Source organism: Homo sapiens, chromosome 1 (assembly GCF_000001405.40).
Source record: "Homo sapiens chromosome 1, GRCh38.p14 Primary Assembly".
In the NCBI taxonomy this organism is placed as follows: domain Eukaryota; kingdom Metazoa; phylum Chordata; class Mammalia; order Primates; family Hominidae; genus Homo; species Homo sapiens.
In genome coordinates this window covers 232,908,935-232,927,900 of record NC_000001.11, presented here as the reverse complement: position 1 = coordinate 232,927,900, position 18,966 = coordinate 232,908,935, and the positions used below count along the sequence as shown (strand labels likewise).

Below are 18,966 nucleotides of genomic sequence, written 5' to 3'. Positions count from 1 at the left end.
AGTGAGTGTTAAATGGCAAGTCACTCTGAGCTTGTTGCAATGCGGCACTTCTAACTCTCTGTTAGTGCCCTGGTCCCCTCATGAGAGCCAAAACTCTTGACATTCTTATACGGCCTTCAGCAACTGACCCCTGCTCTTCTCCATGGCCTCATTTTTGGCTCCATCCTCTGAAACAGCATTTGGGCTTTTACAACAGGACCACCATGCCTCCAGGTGTTTCCTATGCAAGCCTGGGTAGTCGGAATGCCCTCTGCTCCGTCCAACTTTGCCTGACCACCTCCTGCTCTGCTCACTCAGGTTCAGCTTTGACATCACCTCCTGGGATACTGATATGGTTTGGCTGTGTCCCCACCCAAATCTCATCTTGAATTCCCATGTGTTGAGGGAGGGACCTAGTGGGAGGTAATTGAATCATGAGGGCAAGTCTTTCCCCTGCTGTTCTCATGAGAGTAAATAAGTCTCATGAGATCCGATGGTTTTAAAAAGAGGAGTTCCCCTGCACACGCTCTCTCTCTCTGCCTGCTGCCATCCATGTAAGGCGTGACTTGCTCCTCCTTGCCTTCCACCACGATTGTGAGGCTTCCCTAGCCACGTGGAACTGTTAAGTCCAATTAAACCACTTTCTTTTGTAAATTGCCCTGTCTCTGGTATGTCTTTATCAGCAGCATGAAAACAGACTAATACGGATACCTTCTTTACACCCCAAGTCAGGAACCAGAGCCCCCTGCTGTGTCCTCCCTTTATCACTGCACATCACAGACAGTATCATCATAACCTCTTTGCTTACCTCTATCCCTTCACTTCACTATGTTCCAATGTTTTTATTATGGAATCTACTGTGCCTAGTACAGTGCTTGACACATAGCTAGTGCTCAATAAAAAAAAATAATAAATGAGTGAATGGAAGTTTGGGAAAGGGTAGATTCTTGCTGGTTCTTCCAAGACAGAAAAAGGCAAGAGCTCCACAAATGTCCATTTTTGTGAACCTGGATAATTATTTGGAAGGGAAAGAGGAGGATCAGGCCTGGAGCCAAGAGAACCTGAATCATAACCTTGATGGGATTTAAACCTGAGAATCATGTGGATTTTTTTCTGAGTGACAAGGGAGAGTGAGTGGAGATCCATTGTCTAGGTGTTGCTGTGGGTGGCAAATTATTAGTTAGAAAATCCATGCAGTCACGTATGTGAATGTGAAAAATTGTGAGCCTTGCTGCCACCTAAGAATAAGACCATCCCATCATTAATCATGTGCTTTCATTTGCACTGGATCCCATCACAAAGGAATTAATGTCTGTGGCAGTCAGGTGGCTCTTAACTCCTTACGAAGAGTAATAAGGCTTTACTTTTTCATAAACATGGATGTGACACAGAAACTAATACCATCCAGTAAAGTCCAAACCAACTGCTTCCCACTAGAGAAGCTTCTCCTCTCCAGGAAAGCTTTACCCGGCCAGACCAGACTCTTTCTCCCTGGACCCATGGCAAATACAGACTGTTCATTTAGTGAATCACTCTCCCTCTTCTGTTCTCTTCTTGAAATATTTTTTCAACCTTCACGCTTTAATTTCTAACATGTTTATGTTCTGTCTAGCTCCTAGGTGGTAAGAGAGTGGATTTAAAATTGTAATCCCCCCAGGAGAGCAAACATTGCCCAGTCTTTTGCTTCTTGACCAAGGGAGGTGCTTGATAAAATATTTATTGATCTCACCATTGATTCCTCTCTCAGTCTCAGCACACATGGGTCACAATGGACAGTCATTTTTCATCTCACATTTGGCTTTCTAATAGTCCTTTCTTAAAGTGATTCCATTTGCTCATGTGAAGTGCAGAGACCTGGTCAGGCATGAAGAATACAGCTTTTCCTACTGCCTTTCCAGGCTCTGGCCATGGGCCCTGCCTGAGTGGCCCTCTGTCATCATGCTCTGCCAGCTCACTTCAAAGCAGTCTGGCCTTTTAAACAAAAGGCACAATAGGGCTAACAGAACAACCCTGCAATGTAGTTGAACATAAATGCATACGAAAATGAGACACAGCTTCTCTCACTCACCATGGCATAGTGCTTTGGGGCCTCTGGTGAACTTGAAGAAAACCCCAAGCCCCTTTCTTAGAGCTTTGATGTGCCACTGTAACAAATGCACAGCAGGACATTGCACCCTAGTTCGCATTTAAGCCTTCCTGTTTAATTTGAGCAAAACTCTCCTTACAGGAGAATTAAACAATAACCACATCACAGGGAGATCTTAAAGTATTAGCAAACATCTGCTGCAAGCGTCGTGACAAGCACATGGCCCTAATGGCCCGCAGCCCCCCTGAAGAAGAGCAGATGTCTGTATAAAGGATGAATTTTGTTTATAAGGTGTTTTTGGTATGAACTTTTTCTTTGGCTCTTGTTAAATGGAGAACTTAGCAACCTATTGAAAAGGCATTTTGTCTCCACCCTGTAGAGCCAAATTGCTTCCTTGCTCTTCTGACTTCCTGACTGCTGAAGGAAGTCTTGGTCTATCTCAGGCAGTTAGTAAAGCATTGTCAGAATGGCCAATGGTGCATTAACCAGACCTGTTATTCCTAGTGGTCAGTGCAGTCTTTAAACACAAAGCTGGGTGTTCAGAGACCTGAACGCTAGTCCTCCATTGCCATGGTTAGCTGTGTGGTCCCAGGTAAGTCACTACCCTGACTGCATGGGATTTTGCATCTGTAGAATCAGCAGTGGTCTCTTCCAGATGTATCATCTGGCACTTCTCTCTCATGCATTTCTCTGGGCTAGTAAATTCTTAGCAAATTTCAACCTCGCTGACACCCCAGTGAGATGGCCTCTATTCATTGGGTGGTAATGGAGGGCTCTAAGAATTATCTGGGGAATACTGTCAATGCATTATAAATCACCAGAGAGGCTGCATCAGGCTCGAAAGTGGATCTCTGCTAGCTCTGAAAAGTCCATTTTTATTTTCTGGCTTAGAGACATTCACAAGATATTTTTCAAATATACATTTCCCTTGAGCGGTGTGGTCTCTGGGATGTTCAGGTACAACAGAATCAGATGTCACAGAAATGTTAGGTCATTCCAATTCGCTGCAGTTCATCTTTGCAATTGTTAGAGGGCATGGCCCAGAAATACAGAAATGAATGAAGCGAAGAATTTTCAGTCTCATCCTGTCTATCTTTGCTCATGCAGACGCAGTCAGGCGGATGACTCTGTGACCTCTCACCCTGGATACTCTTGATATCCACATCAGTGGGGTAAAGGCATCTTCAAATTCTATTGTCTTGAACCAAGGATGAAAATGTTTCAAATCTTCACCCCTTCCTGATTCCCGAGGGGTCTTTTAATGGCCTAAGCAATGCCGTTAAACAAATAGTCCCCATCAACACGGAAGATGGTGATTTGTGGTCATTTTTCAGTTCGTTACAACAAATGCCAAGGCCCACTCCTTGCATTGACAGACACCCAGGAAGAGTCTTCAGGGCCTATAGATGAGATCAAGGTGAAAATTACTTTGAGATCAAAGTCTTCTCTGCTGCAGTGCACTGGAGGGCTTCTGAGTCCAGCCAGGCAGTGAAGGAAGACTTCCCCACCCAGCACCTGGCTCCTCCTGCCTTTCTGAACAGGGTTTTGATTTGTTGAACAGCTTAGGAAGTAAGTGTGGCTTTGCTTAAGACCGCCAGCTTCCATAGACTGAAACGGTAGATGTAACTTACCCCAAAAGACAAAGAAAAAGAAAGCAAGATAGCACACCCTTGGGTTGGTTTCTGGCAAGCTCTAACCACATCAATGCATAAAACTGTATCTGTGCCTGACTGAGCAAAGTGACAACAGTGTCACAGAATCTGATCTTGAGATTAGCAGCTGCCCCTCTTTTGGAAGAGCTGTCCTTCACCTTTACTGCAAGTTCATGATAAAGTGCCATCTTCCCTCCCTTTACAGCCACAGCAGGGATGTGAGCTACCAACTCAGCTGCACCTAGTATCCCTTGGATTGAGAGGAGCGCTGACATGTCCTTACTCACCCTTGCTCCAGGCCCACAGCCCACTTTCAGAGGATGATTAAAGCAGAGTGAGAATGAGTCAGGTTCTCTCCAGAAACCAAGGGTCTGAAGTAGCAATTGACTGAATGGGACCGGAAGAGTGATCTGGAAGAGTTAATGAGTATTCAACATTGCTGGGCTCTACTTCCTGGTTCAGCCTTCCAGGAGGGGAGAATGAATCTGACCCAAGATTTGTCGAGTTCTTAAACATGGCATTATTCGAAATAAAATTTCCCCCTTCATCCTCTTATTGCCAAGGAAGACACTGATTTTTCAAGAAAGAAAAGCTAATATGCTTGCATAGAGTGCAAATAGAATGTGTGACCAATCATTGGACTGACAGAATTTGCCATCATTGTGACAAAAGATTAATTCATTTGGTCAATTAGGCCTGTAACAAATCAAGACAAGAAATTTTTGAAAATCAAACTTTTCACTTTACTGAGTGATATGGTTTGGCTGTGTCCCAACCCAAATCTCAACTGGAATTGTATCTCCCAGAATTCCCATGTGTTGTGAAGGGGGACCCGGGGGAGATAATTGAATCTTGGGGGCCAGTCTTTCCCATGCTATTCTCATGATAGTGAATAAGTTTCACAAGATCTGATGGGTTTATTAGGGCTTTCTGCTTTTGCTTCTTCCTCATTTTCTCTTGCCACCACTATGTAAGAAGTGCCTTTCACCTCCCACCATGATTCTGAGGCCTCCCCAACCATGTGGAACTATAAGTCCAATTAAACTTCCTTTTCTTCCCAGTCTTGGTATGTCTTTATCAGCAGCATGAAAATTGACTAATACACTGTCATCAGGCACATTTATTCAAAATAATCAAATTACTATTCCTGAATAGACACATATAAGATTCCTTTGAGAATTAGCAAACTCATACCTCAATATTGCCAGTAAAATTCTAAATTCGTGAAGTAAAGGTCCATATTTTTTGCTGCATTTTTAACCGTCACATACCACAGTGTGAGAAGATGTGTGGTACATTATCTTAAAATGCTTCTTACTTCCTGAAAAATTAAGTCAGTAATCTAAAGATTTTACCACAATATTTTACACACAGAAAGAAACCCTAAAACTGTGTCTGGATTTTATTGCAAGAAAAGTAGGCCAGATGTGGTAGCTCATGCCTGTAATTGCAGCACTTTGGGAGGCTGACTAAGCCAGGAGGATTGCTTGCGACCAGAAGTTTGTGACTAGCTTAGGCAGCATAATGAGACCCTGTCTCGACAAAAATTTCTTTTGAAAAATTAACAAGCCATGGTAGTGCACACATAGGTACTCCCAGCTACTCAGGGGGCTGAAGCAGGAGGTTGAGGCTCCAGTGAAATATGTTGGTGCCACTGCACTCTAGCCTGTGTGACAGAGCAAGACCCTGTCTCTATAAAAAGAGAGAGAGGTAAGTGGCAAATAATTTTCGATTTTTACCACACCACCCCTCTTTTCCTTCAACTCTGTGAATACATAATGATTCTCCCTTGCTAGTTTCTTATGCCTTTGAAAAACAGTATTATTTTATAACGTAATCGAAACTGCCATGGACTGAATTTTATCCCCCCAAAATATTGAAACCTTCACCCTAATGTGACTGTAGTTTGAGATAGGGCCTTTAGGAGGTAATTAAAGTTAAATGAGGTCATAAGGGTAGGTCCCTAATCACACAAGGTTGGTGGCCTTATAAGAGGAAGAGAAAGAGCTCTCTCTCCAAGTACACTCAAAGAAAAGACCGTCTAAGGACACCATGAGAAGGTGGCAATCTAGAAGCCAGGAAGAGAGCCCTCACCAGAAACCAAACAGTGCTGGATTTTGATCATAGATTTTCAGCCCGCAGAACTATGCAAAATAAATGTCTGTTGTTTAAGCCACTCAATCTATGACATTTTATTATGGAAGTTCACATAGATTAATACAGGCAACTTTACTGGAAACATTATAAATCTTTTTTCCCTCAAAAGATAAATAGTTTCAATCATGGAATAGAAACCTTGTGACAAAAAACACACCTCCTCTCCCCTTTCTCATGTTAGGCAGCCCATTAGGGAATGCCAACATAAGTCATCAAATTGAGTTTGGTAATGAGTATTTTCTCCTTTCTTTTTCTCTTCCCAGTGAAACAACATTTCTTGTGGTCTCAACCATTCACAAAAAAATAAAAAGGAGGCCAACTACAAACACAAATCATACAAGCAACTGTAGTCAACAACATCAATCTTTCATTTAAATGTATGCCAACATAATGTTGGAGCAATACATATGGCGATGACCCATCGCTAAGGATACTATTTATAGGAAGTTTCAACACTTTGAGCCTCAAACACTAAGCCATGGCCAAAGCAGCAGCTTTCAAAATCAAGCTCACTGAGTTTTTCTTAAAATAACAGAAAGAAATCCCAAGATAGCAAAAACAGGCACATCTGTCAGTGCAGCAATTCCTTAAAATAAATCTCTCTCTCTCTCTGTCTCTCTTTCTGGATATATATACAAGATACACACACATACACACGCGCGCGCACACACACACACACACACACACATATATATGAAATGTTGTTTCATTGGAACTCTGGAGAACTTATACATACATCATGCCCATGACTATCTATGCTATCCATGAGTAAGGCTGGACCTATCATTGATTACTGTCATCATTAGCTCTATTTGGTAAGACTAATTCTGCGCAATTATTCTGTCAATAATTTTGAATACCTACTATGTGCTGGGAAAACTGCTAGAGGCTGCAAGGCTTTTGCACAAACAAAAACAGCTACCCATCTTTTGGAGCCTCAATCTTAATCTATTAGTGAAAAGGACATCTTAGTTCATAGGGCTTTAATGATTCTTTTTAAAGATGAGCTATGAAATTTATTCATATCCTCTACTAAAAAAAGTTTTATATACTCATTAAGGCAGAGATGACAAGGAGATTTCAACTCAAACCAACTCTCTGATGAAATGATTGTGGCTGCTTTGACCACTCCCATGAGGTGCAGAGAGAAAGAGACCCATTTGTGGCAGCTGCCTTGGGAATGGAGGAGGCTGGAAGTCCAAGATCAATGTGTTGGCAGGATTGAGTCCTTCTGAGGGCTGTGGGGAAGAATTTGTTCCATGTTTCTCTCCTGGCTTCTGCTGGTTTTCTGGCAATTTTTGTCATCTTTTGGCTTGTAGATGCATCACTCTGATCTCTGTCTTCATCTTCACATGGTCCTCTGTTTGCACACGTGTGTGTCTCTGTGTCCAAATTTCCCCCTTTTTATAAGGACACCAGTTATATTGGATTAGGGCCCACCCTAATGACCTCCTCTGAACTAATGATGTCTACAACAATCCTATTTTCAGATAAGCTCACATTTTAAGGCACTGAGGGTTAGGACTCCAACATATAAATTTTAAAGGGAGACACAATTCAGTCCGCAACAATTGTGTTGTACCATTGTCCCTAAGGTACATTCAGTAAGTAAGGAAATGGAGCAAGGAAAGGAGTTAAAGCTCCACACATGGTCCAGCTGGGGCAAAGGGGAGTTCTCTATTCTCTCTTTAGATTCTTTGTTGGAATTAATTTCCTCATGGTCTTGAGTTTCCAAAGGTAAGTGCTATCTGAAAACTCAAACCTTTCCCTAGATCTTTTCTTTAGAGATATTATCCACAGAAAGCCTGAACTGTGTAGGTTAGGCCAGCTCTGCTCTCAGCCTTAGAAAGAAACCCTTTCCCACTCCTTTCCTGGGAATGCTCTTCCTAATGTTTGCCTTTAGTTGATCGACAGGACTGTGATGGGGTGGAAAAAGGTGCCAGCAGGGCACTGGATGTCCTAGGCAGTGCAAAAGAATAAGGATAAAGTAAATAAAGGTTTAGAGATTGGGAGGAAACAAATATGTCATTACTCACAAGAGACATGATCATACATGTAGGAAATCCAAAGATAATTTTCACTAAAATATTAGAATTGAAAGAGAATTTAGCAAGGCCACTGGATATAAAATCAATTGTACATACCCAGAGTAATGGAGATGCACCTGAAAGACCTTAAATAACTTTAATAGAAAACAACACACACACACACAAAAATCAATTTTAGTTCTATATAACTGAAGTAAACAATTAAACTGAAAAAAAACCTTAAAAAGATATCATTTACAACAGTATCAAAGCATCACATACAAAGGAATAAATTTAATGATAGATTTACATAACTTTTATCAAGGAAAAAACATATTGTCTTAGTTCATTTGTGTTGCTACAAAGGAATACTTGAGACTGAGTAATTTACAAATAAAAGAGGTTTATTTGGCTCACCGTTCTGCAGTCTGTACAAGAAGCACGATGTCAGCATCTGCCTCTAATGAGGGCCTCAGGGAGCTGCTTCTCATAGAGCAACGTGAAGGGGAGCCACCCATTACATGGAGAGACAGGGAAGAAGAGAGGGAGAAAAGAGGTGCCAGGTTCTTTTTAACAATAGTTGTCACAGCAACTGAGTGAGAACTCACTCACTCCTGCTATAGTGGCACCAAGTCATTCACGAAGGATCCCACCCCAATGACCCAAACACCTGTCACCAAGGCCCCACCTCCAACACTGGGGATCAAATTTCAACATGAGACTTTGTGAGGCCAGACAAACTATATTCAAATCATAGCACACATCATTAAGAGAAGTTAATGATAATATAAATAAATGCAGAAATAAACCAAGTTCAAGAAGTAGAAGACCAAGTTTTGTAAATATGTGAACTTTGTTTTCAAACTAATCTCTAGATTCAATGCAATTCTGGTCAACATTCCAGTAGAATTTTGTGAAGTTTTGCAAGGTGATTGTAAAATTTGTATGAAAATGCAAACGACAAATAATAGTCAAGGAAATCTTAGAGAAGAACAAAGTGGGATGATTTTCACTGCTGGTTATCATAAATTATTATAGACTACAGTAAGTTAAAAGAGAGTGGTACCATGTGTGTATACACACACACAAACACACATACAGTTGACCCTTGAACAACATGGGTTTGAACTGCACAAGCCTATTTAAATGTGAATTTTTTGTTTTGAGGAGTCTTGCTCTGTTGCCAGGCTGGAGTGCAGTGGTGCGGTCTTGGCTCACCGCAACCTCCGCCTCCTGGGTTCAAGCGATTCTTCTGCCTCAGCCTCCCAAGTAGCTGGGATTACAGGCATGCACCACCATGCCCAGCTGATTTTTGTATTTTTAGTAGAGATGGGGTTTCACCATGTTGGCCAGGCTGGGCTTGAACTCCTGAGCTCGTGATCCGCCCGCCTCGGCCTCCCAAAGTGCTGGGATTACAGGCGTGAGCCACTGCGCCCGGCCCTTAAATGTGGATTTTTAAAAATAAAAGTTACAAGTATGCCTGCCTCTCCTGCCTCCCCTTCCACCTGCTTCACCTCTTCCTCCTCTGCCACTCCTAAGACAGCAAGACCAACTCTTTATCTTCTTCCTCCTCCTCAGCCTATTCAATGCGAAGACAACGAGGGTGAAGAACTTGTAATGATCCATTTCCACTTAATCAATAGTAAATATATCTTCTCTTCCTTGTGATTTTCTTAATAACACTTTCTGGCTTGCTTCATTATAAGAACACGGTATGTAATACATATACAAAATATATGTCAATGCTCCTAAGAATGAAGTTGCCTCCAAGTAGGAAAACTGAATATTGTTTTGTCTCAAAAGATTACACATCCAGTGCTTGAGAAATCAGGCAGGTGAGCAGCAGGACTAATAGAGTGGATTTGGGGGACTGTCTGCTACTCCCAATCAGTAGGCCTTGGTCCAGGAAGTCTTTTTTTATTAGGGGAGGGGTGCTATTTACAGCCCATCCTGCATATCTTCCCTTCAGCAGCTCTCAGGACTGTTCGTTTTTCTTGAACTCTTCATGGTGATGGGCATCGGTGGCCTTCTCTTTAGCAGGACACTGGTGATTTGGAAGGGACTGCTTAGGCTTCTTGGTGTCATCCACTCTAGGGCCAGGCCTTGGACTCTTCTTTGTTTCTCTCTGTGAGGGCATTGAGCCGTTGGGATCAAATGGGTGGTACCACACATAATCACACATGTTGGTGCACACAAGATGTCTCAATGTCTTTCTTCTTATTCTGATCCTCTGCTAGCAGCCAGGCTTTAGCTTCCTTGGTGGCAATGCATTCTATTTCAGCATCAGTGCAGACATCCACCTTGGGATGCACCCAGCATTGGGTGGGAAGCATCTCCTTGGCCTTCTTTGAGGAGCAAACATGTGTTTTCTGAAAGTTCATAGAGACAGTCCTCTGCACTCTTCAGTTTGATTTTCTGTTCCTGTGGTCCAGGAGCCCTTTCCTTTGCTTTGTCTTTGTCTCCATGTACTTCATCACGCTCATGCCTTCCTACCCTGGGTTGGTTTCTTCAGAAAATGACATCCTTGGCTGGAGGTCTTCCTCTTTACTGATCCCATCCATGCCCTTCTCCTCCTGCCCCATATACATACTACCTGTCTTAATCTGAAGGAAATCACCCACTAGAATGGCCTCCACTTGTACCCCCTCTCCCATCTGCAGGGCCACAGCTCTCACATGTCTAGTTTCTTCCTCAAGTCCTGCACCTCCCCGGTCTCTTTCAGCTTGAATCAAATCTCCTCTCAGTCTTGCTCATCTTCCTGCTGGCCCAGGGCGGGCTTGATGGAACTGGCCTCATGGTCTGGCCTCTGCAGTAAAGACATTTTTAGGTATGCATGATACTGAAAAACAAAAAGAAAAACTCTCCCACACATGCTTTCTCAAGAAGCTCGTGTTTGTACTCTTTGAAAACATAGGAGTAAATCTAGAAAGGCATTAACTTATATACCGGGTGCTTCAACAAGAGAGAGTGAAGCCATCTCCAGGATGATGTGAGAGAGCTCAGAAGATGGTGTTTGTACAACAGGCCCAGAGGGCAACCTCTCCATACAGGGCAAGGTGGCAGAAGGGTGCAAGATGGAGGTCTCCATGGATAAGAAAGAAGCTGGTAGGTTTTCTCTGCTAAAGTATTGAGAGAGAGGTATGCCTCCAGCAGAGACACATAGTACATCCAGAAAAATGCAATTTGTCCAAGAAAGAAAATATAATCAGGGTTCAATAAATAGCTCAGCCATAAATATTTATAGGGTCATAATATAAACATTAAATGTAAAGATTACTGTGCAACCTAATTGGGTAGAAAGGAATATGAGTGTGGAAAGAAAAACATGTTGAGAGATATGGGAAGTAAGAGCGTGAAACCATTTTTAAAATAGTAAATGGCAAGGATTTCCAAACTATTAAAACTATCAAGAAACAGCAGTGTAAGGAACGGCTAAAGTTAAAAATGTTGCCAGTCAGAAGTGAGAATTGGGAGGGGAGGAGCATGGCAGGAGACTGCTATTTTTCTTTCTAGAATGATTTGATATTTTAACCTAGGAGCAGTTATAACTTTGAAAAATATAAATGCTAGGTACAAGCAGGTAGAAGCACTACTAGTATAATTATTTAAGGCATATAGGTACAAGCAGGTAGAAGCACTACTAGTATAATTATTTAAGGCATAAGCCTATGGAAGAGATACACAAAAGTGATCTTGGTTGTGCCAGATTGGAGAGATTACTGGGAAAGTTTACTTTGTTGTAGTCTTAGGCAGTAGCTATAGCAAGAAAGAGTGGCAAATGCAGGCAGAGATACAGCAAGTTGGGAGGAAGTCTGGAAGGGCTCTGTCCATTGATCAAGAAGCTTGAGCCCTTGATCACAAAAGTGATCCTTTCTATCAGAAGGAATCATTAGCATAGAAAGTGAACTTGAAGTAGCCTAAGACTCAGGTAGGAATCTACGTAAGAGAGCCTGCGTTAGGGTCTTTTCCTTAAGGGAGCCCTTTATTTTATTTGGCAAATGGCTCACTGGAGAACTCAGGCTACAGAATTCTTCCTGGGAAGGTGGCTATCTACTTACTAACTCACACCTGAACTAACTAGCAGAAAGCCATCATGCCCGTCCATCCAGGCAGCCATCCAGCCATGCAACATTTTTGAGCCCCAGCTATTGGGCAGACATCGTGCTGAGTTCTGTGCCCCTGCTAAATGAAACGTAAGGGCAGTCTTGAAACCCAGCTCTAAACTTCCCTCCCCTTCCCACCCTGCCAGTGTCATCTTCTTACAGGATGTAAGGCTATGAGCTATGAGATGGTGAGAATTCATATTTCCCTTTCCCTTCACCTTCCTAAATATTTACTTTTCCTTTACCTGCCTGAGCAGTATGCTCAATATCAACACATGTTTTTAGTTCAATATGATTTTATTTAAAATGTGTACAGCTGAAGAAGGGATCTAATCTTTTGTTAAAAGAAACCAATTTTCACAGTATATATTTGGCCATTTTAGCTTTGTAGTGAATAATAACATAAAAGGAAGTTTCTGTTCAAGATCATCACTCCAGCACACTCAGCCAGGTGCTTGGCAAGATGACACATTTCCTGGTCTGAAGCTCACAGCCAATCCTCTCACCCAAGTGGGACACCAATACTCCTCCAGGCACACACACACACATGTGCGTGCGTGCACACTCTGTCTCACACACACACACACACACACGAGGTCTTATTTTCACTGCTCTACACGGAGCCCTGAGAATCCTTAATTTTAAAGTTGGGAAAAATGTGAAAGGATTCCTTAACTCACTGTCTGCGACAAGTCCATCTACCTTTTAACTCTTAACAACTGCAAGTATAAAATAGTTGAAATGTATGAGATACTCCATTTAATGGAACAACTCAAAAGTTAAAAAATTAGGTCAAGCAACATGCTTTAATATTTTTAAATGTTGCTTAAAACTTACTGAGACAAGAGATGCAGCACATTCTGGGTATTATAAACTCTCACTGACAACTGTGACATGACGGTCAAAAATATTTTAAAAAGAGAAGAAACCATACATATTGGTATACAACAATGTCTGCAAGGGAATGTCATGTTTTAAATTTTGTTAACTGAAATTAAACCTGAAAAAAAAACCCCAAAGGTCTACAAAACTGATACCCATGTCATTTTAAATGATGAGGTGGATTGTTTCCTATGCAGTAAAGTGAAGGTAACAAAAAATCCATACAACTTTCACATCCTCTTAAAAAAAAAAGTTCAGGTTATAGTCACTTTCACAGACAAGACATTTATAAACTATCTATATTATAACTATATAATATATAATATATAACTGTAAAAAAGTAAAGTAGATGTTCCTCTTCAAAGACTTTCCTCCCCATCTAATTAGGAATAAACAGCAACTTCTCTTAAAAGCAAAATTTATTCAAAGACCTGTGCTAACATTCTTAAATATCTGCTAGCCGTGATAAAGAAATCCATGTACTTTATGTTCTCACCTCCCACAATTTAGCCTAAATATTTGCCCTGGCATGCTTATACTGGTCCACTCAAGCATTAGGTCATAGCCTGCTCCTCTTCCTAATTTGAAGGTGTTTTTACCTTTCTCAGCATTCCACAAGTTACTTCCTCCTTCCTTTGTCCTCCTCTACCTTTGCTTCCTTTAAAAAGTTCTAAGTTGCTAGCCAATCAGGACAAATACAGAATGTGAGGTCCCGTTCCAGCCAATGGAAACCAGACACAGCAGTAAGGTGAACGCGTCAAGTTATAAATGACCCCGTGTCCTTTGTTCGGTGTCCTCTCAAACAAAGTGGCAAAACTGCTGGCGAGTGTACTTTCTGCAGAAAGTAAAAATGGCCTTGCTGAAGAAATTAAATTTATGTTCAACTGCTATTTCTTTACGGCACCGAGGAACAAGCATTTCTAATATAACTATATAATATATAACTATTGATATCAATTTATAAATATCAACACCTTTTAATCAAGTTCTTTTCTAGATAAATGTGGATACATCAACAGGGCCTCCCTTGGGTATTCTGTGCTCATCCCTTGAGAGATTCGTTTTAATGAGAGATTCCCAAGCTGTTTGACAAAACAAGGGTAATTAACAGGGCAGCTGTTCTTCTGACACCCAATAACATTGATAACAAGAGAAGGAGCCTTATTTGGTCAAAAGAGTCTACAGGTGTGACTGGGGCCTGAGTTCTGGTCTTGTCTTCATGAACATAGTTGTTTATTGTTCTCTGATTCAGTTTCCCATTCATTTTCCCTCATACAATCTATAAGAAACTTCCTTAAGGGAATAAACATTATTTTATTGATCTTTATTTTTTTCTTTGATAGCTACCAAATTGCCTATACCATTGCAAGTGTGTGTTCAGAAACATTTCTATTTGAATTAATGAACTGAGTAAAGTCAATCTCCCTGGCAATTACATGAATATAAAAATCCACTCCCACCTAGGTTCTGTTGGAGGACATTTGGGAGTTCCATTGTCTTTTACTAATTAAGTTCTCTGTTGATTTCTACCCTTCCTGATTCCATGTCACACTCCTTCTCTGTTGATTTATTTTTTTCCCCCTCCTGGCTCTGCATCCTTTCTTTCTTTTGAATATTGCCTTAAAGCTATGACTCTCAGCACCCAGTAATAGCTCACATTATGTAAGAGGATATTGTAAAAGTCTCTAAAAATTTCCAGAACAATAACAATTTAAATTCCCATCCATTAAAAACTAAATAAATAAACCATATTTAATTTGGGTGGAGGGAATTGGAGAGGAAGTTAGGGAATCAAATAAACAACAGGATGTTGTAATTTCCAGAAAGCTGGGAAATGTCTGCCACAGAGGCTCAGAAAAAGCCCATGTACTTGTATTAGTCCTGGGCACAATCATCTGTAGCAGCCCCTGATAGGAATAAATCTTGTTAAAACAATACTTTGCAAGGGGTGCTGCTTACCTGGTTTTGTCCATTCTGGGTACTGGAATCACGACAGTCAGAGTCCCAAAGTGGCCTCATGGGTCAGGCGGTCATTTAACAATACTCGGAAAGGTTCCTAAATTTGGTAATTCTGAAGTCAACAAAAGGTTCCTGAGAAACAACTGAACATTTTTATGCCTAGAAATTTAGAAACTATTCATTCTACTCTTATTCTACTAGTGGTGACACTTAAGAAGTATATTAGAAACTCAGAAACTAGCTTTTTCCTCTTTTCAACATCTGCAATAAAACATTTTCTATCTCCTCTGCAGGTTGTTTGTTTGTTTGTTTATTTGTTTGTTTTGAGATGGAGTCTTGCTCTGTCGCCCAGGCTGGAGTGCAGTGGTGCAATCTCGGCTCATGCAGTTGTTATTTTTTGAGGTGTCTCTCTTCCCTAAACTGGTAACTACTGTCCTCCCACCCCTGTTACCATGCACTCAGGAATGGGGCCACTGCAGCCGTTTACATGACCTTGCTATCTGGCCGGAGCTACTTAGACGTGGATAGTCCTTTTCCGGGTTTAGCCGCATTCCCTGCCCTGTATTTCACTCTATTTATCTGAATTTAATCTGAGGAATATAATACAATCAATCAAAATTATATAAAATTTTAGGCTGCTCTGCAACATCTCTTTCAATGATTATTTGATGTTTGCATCAATCATAACACAATAAAAGGAATTGGTTGGGCTTAATAATTCACTTTCAGTAGCACAGGTTGAATCTGCTTAATCCGAAACTCCGAAATCCAAAATGCTCCCAAATCTGAAACTTTTTGAGTACCAACATGATGCCCGAAGGAAATGCTATTGCAGCATTTCAGATTTCAGATTAAAGATGCTCAACCAGTAAGTATAATGCAAATATTCCAAAATCTGGAAAAAAAAAATCCAAAGTTCGAAAGACTTCTGGTCCCAAGCATCTAGGATAAGGGATGTCAAACCTATATTATGTTTAACATAGTTCTCTCTCTCTTTTTTAGGTCATTTAAATTTACTCATCAATTGGCCAATGTATAGAAAGAGATGACTGTTTTAAGGAGAGCTTGAAGGTGGTGTACTTTCTGGGTCCTTGCATAGTTTGAGAATGTCTTTCAGTTAACATCACACATAAGTGACACTTTGGCTGGATACGGTATTCCATTGCCTGTTCACTGTTTTGGAACAGGGTGCTGAAGAGAAGTCTGTTCATTCTTTGGTAGGTAGCTTTTTATTCTCTATATTTCTGTAGGCATCCCTGTCTGAAAATCTACATAATTTTGAGTTTATTCTCGAAATTCAAATTCTTCTCCCAGCTACGATTAAATATTGATCTCTTTAAAACATTTTTCCCTGGTGCTCTAACTGACACTACTGTCTAAACTTTCTTCCAATTATTATTTCTTACATCTACTCTCTTATCTTCCAGGATTCTCTATATTGCTTATATTTTAGTATTCGGTTTTTAAATGTATTTTGTGCTATGTGTTTGCTTTAAAATGTAGTGTATTGAGAGAAAGTCTGAAGTATAGTAATGCCAACAGATTAGGGTAAGATTTTGCCATTGAAAAGACAGTTTGTTATTCACAGTTCCCAGGAGGAGGGACACACCACACACCATAGGGAAGCACCAAGGTGGATCAGGAGGGCCAGGGAGACCGGGGAACTGCAGGCCAGAGCTTTTATTATTATTTCTGCAGGAAGGAATGGGTGAGGCAGAACATGCAGGCTTAGGCTTTACTAGTTTGAAAAATTTCAGCAGGCTCTAGGGCATAGGAAATGTCCTCAGTGTCTGATGTCTTGCCCTGCGGTAATAGGGCAGGTGGGTGGATAGCGGCCCGAGTGTGGGCTTTGTATTGTGGTTTGCATATGAAGGGTGTGCTCACAGATGAGTTGTTTACCATCTTTAGGAATTAGTTAACCTGGAGGGACAGTCCCTCTAGAGCAGGGATGTCCAATCTTTTGGCTTCCCTGGGCCACACTGGAAGAAGTAGAATTGTCTTGGGCCACACATAAAACACACTAACACTAACGATAGCTGATGAGCTTAACAAAAAAAAATTGCAAAATCTCCTAATGGTTTAAGAAAGTTTACAAATTTGTGTTGGTAGATTTGTAGATGTAAAATTCCCCTCAATCATCTTGAGGACCTGAATTTGACAATTTCCAAATTGTTCTTGTGTTTTTTATAATAAGTAGTGTTTTAGGAGACCTTTGTTCTAACTGCTGGGAATGTGCTTCTTAGCATTAACCACATTATCATTTAGCAGATCTGGTGGTTTTCTGTTTGGTCTTCCTTCTGGAGGGAGGTCTGCATGTATGTTAGTCCCAGCCTGTATCTGGATGGCTCACGGTTCAAATCTTCAGGCTCACATAAAAGGAGAAAGGAGAGAACAGATACATTTTAGGTAACTTTCCTTTGCCAGGTCAGAGACTCACAAATGGGAGAGAAGGAAGGAACTAGAATTTGAGCTATTTGTTGCAGGAAATGTCACCATGGAAGTGGCTTTCCTTTTGGTCTAGCAGTCAGGAATTCGTGGGGACAGTGTTCCTTCCATTTCCCTGTGTCACCCTCATTAAATCCAGCCATAACTTACCCCAGCTCTCCAGCTAGCGTTGGCTGAGAACAAGAGCCACTCTCAGGAGTGGAGTGGGTAGGGACAAGGATGGACTCAGGGAGACTGGTTGAAAGTCCACTGCAGCAATGCAGGCCAGAGGGAGTGGGAGCGACTGGATTCTGGGTAGATCTTGAAGCAGAATGGAAAGGATTTGCTGATGGTTGGGATGTAGAATATGGACTCTAGAATTTTTCCTTTTTTACATGAGCAACTAGAAAGAATGAGGTTGATATGAGAACTGAGATGTGAAGGACTGTGCAAAGAACACGTCTGTGGTAAAAATGGAGAGTTCGGCTCTGGATATGCAAAATTTGAGAGCCTATAGAATGTCAGAGGAGATGTTAAGTGTGTGAGCATGCAATTTGGAAGGCAGGTCTAGATATTAGTATGAAAGTCTTCCTCCTGTAGATGTCTTTAAAGCTGTGGGATAGGGGGTGAACACGGAAAGATCAAAGACCTCCTAAGAAGCTAGTTTTTGGAAACTAGAAAGAGGAAGGAAACCCGCAAATGAGACTGAGGCTGAGAAGGAGTAGCCCATCAAGTATTATAGGAGACACCGAGTGTGAAAAAACACACTTGAAGTGTTTTGTCTATTCTCTTACTCAAAAATAATCAACACAGAAGACTTCTGTGACCCAATATGTGAGGATTTCTTCCTACCAGCAAGCATGCAATCAATTCTGCAGTAGTTATCAGCACGTTGTCCTCCAATCCAACTCCATTCTGATGATGAATACCTAGAGGTAGCATCAGATCCCTCAGGTTGAGGGCTGTGTCCACAAGCCTGCCCCCTGTTTCCAATGCCTATGGAAAGCCCAGGTTGGGGTGGGGCTGAATCACCCATCTAATCCTGCCGTGGTCTTTCAGGTGACCAGCACCCATCCTGAAGCTACCTAGGGGCCGCCAGCCATTAGTCAACTCATGAGCATACAAAAAGATATCACTTTGGAGACTCCAGGGATTTTAGGATTCATATACCAGGAAGTAGGCCAAAGACCAAATATACACTTCACAATGGCAGAGACCAAAAGAGCAGGTGTCCTAGAGGCCCAGAGAAGGAAGTCTTTTGAGGAGGCAGCAGTCATCAAGACTGGGACACTGACCCCTGGATTTAGCAATGCACAGATCCGGATAACTGGACAAGAGTACACTGAGAAGACCGGGAAGAATGAAGGCCTAGTCAGGGCAGGTTTATGGAACGATGGGAGGAGATGCAGTGGAATGGGCGGGCAGCTGTCAGTCACAACTACCACTTCGGAAATGTAGCTGAGGGAAGCAAAGAAAAGACACAGCAGTGGGAAGAGGTGGCGGAATCTGGAGGGTTTTGCCGTTATCGTTGTACTGTCATTATAGCTGTTAGGAAGAGAGCTCTTGCTGCCCATTTATTCTCTAGGGAGGGAGAAGCCAATGACAGGAAAGATTGAAGGATGTTGTCTTGGAAACTGAGAGGCAGGCGAAGTGGGGGATTTCATAGTGGGATTTGCAGGACTTCTTCTGATGCTTCT

At 41.6% G+C, this 18,966-nt stretch overlaps 1 long non-coding RNA gene across 1 annotated transcript, besides 3 other annotated features; it reads right to left on the bottom strand.

The window, feature by feature from the left end:
* Positions 3,128 to 4,327: an enhancer, noted in NCBI's record as "CDK7 strongly-dependent group 2 enhancer chr1:233059320-233060519 (GRCh37/hg19 assembly coordinates)". NCBI's record gives its function as "activates an origin of replication core promoter dependent on BRD2, BRD4, P300/CBP, MED14 and CDK7 cofactors, with strong dependence on CDK7, by STARR-seq in HCT116 cells {active_cell/tissue: HCT116}" and the evidence as "EXISTENCE:reporter gene assay evidence [ECO:0000049][PMID:35650434]".
* Positions 3,502 to 3,561: an enhancer, noted in NCBI's record as "active region_2734". NCBI's record gives its function as "activates an Ori minimal core promoter by ATAC-STARR-seq in GM12878 lymphoblastoid cells {active_cell/tissue: GM12878}" and the evidence as "EXISTENCE:reporter gene assay evidence [ECO:0000049][PMID:35858748]".
* Positions 9,432 to 18,601, bottom strand: LOC105373201 (uncharacterized). The gene is made up of 3 exons (XR_949282.2): positions 17,056 to 18,601; positions 14,846 to 14,942; positions 9,432 to 10,707 (listed from the first exon to the last, which is right to left on the bottom strand). It is a non-coding gene; the product is annotated as an uncharacterized LOC105373201 (long non-coding RNA).
* Positions 10,377 to 10,436: an enhancer, noted in NCBI's record as "active region_2733". NCBI's record gives its function as "activates an Ori minimal core promoter by ATAC-STARR-seq in GM12878 lymphoblastoid cells {active_cell/tissue: GM12878}" and the evidence as "EXISTENCE:reporter gene assay evidence [ECO:0000049][PMID:35858748]".
* Positions 18,602 to 18,966: the final 365 nt, after the last annotated feature.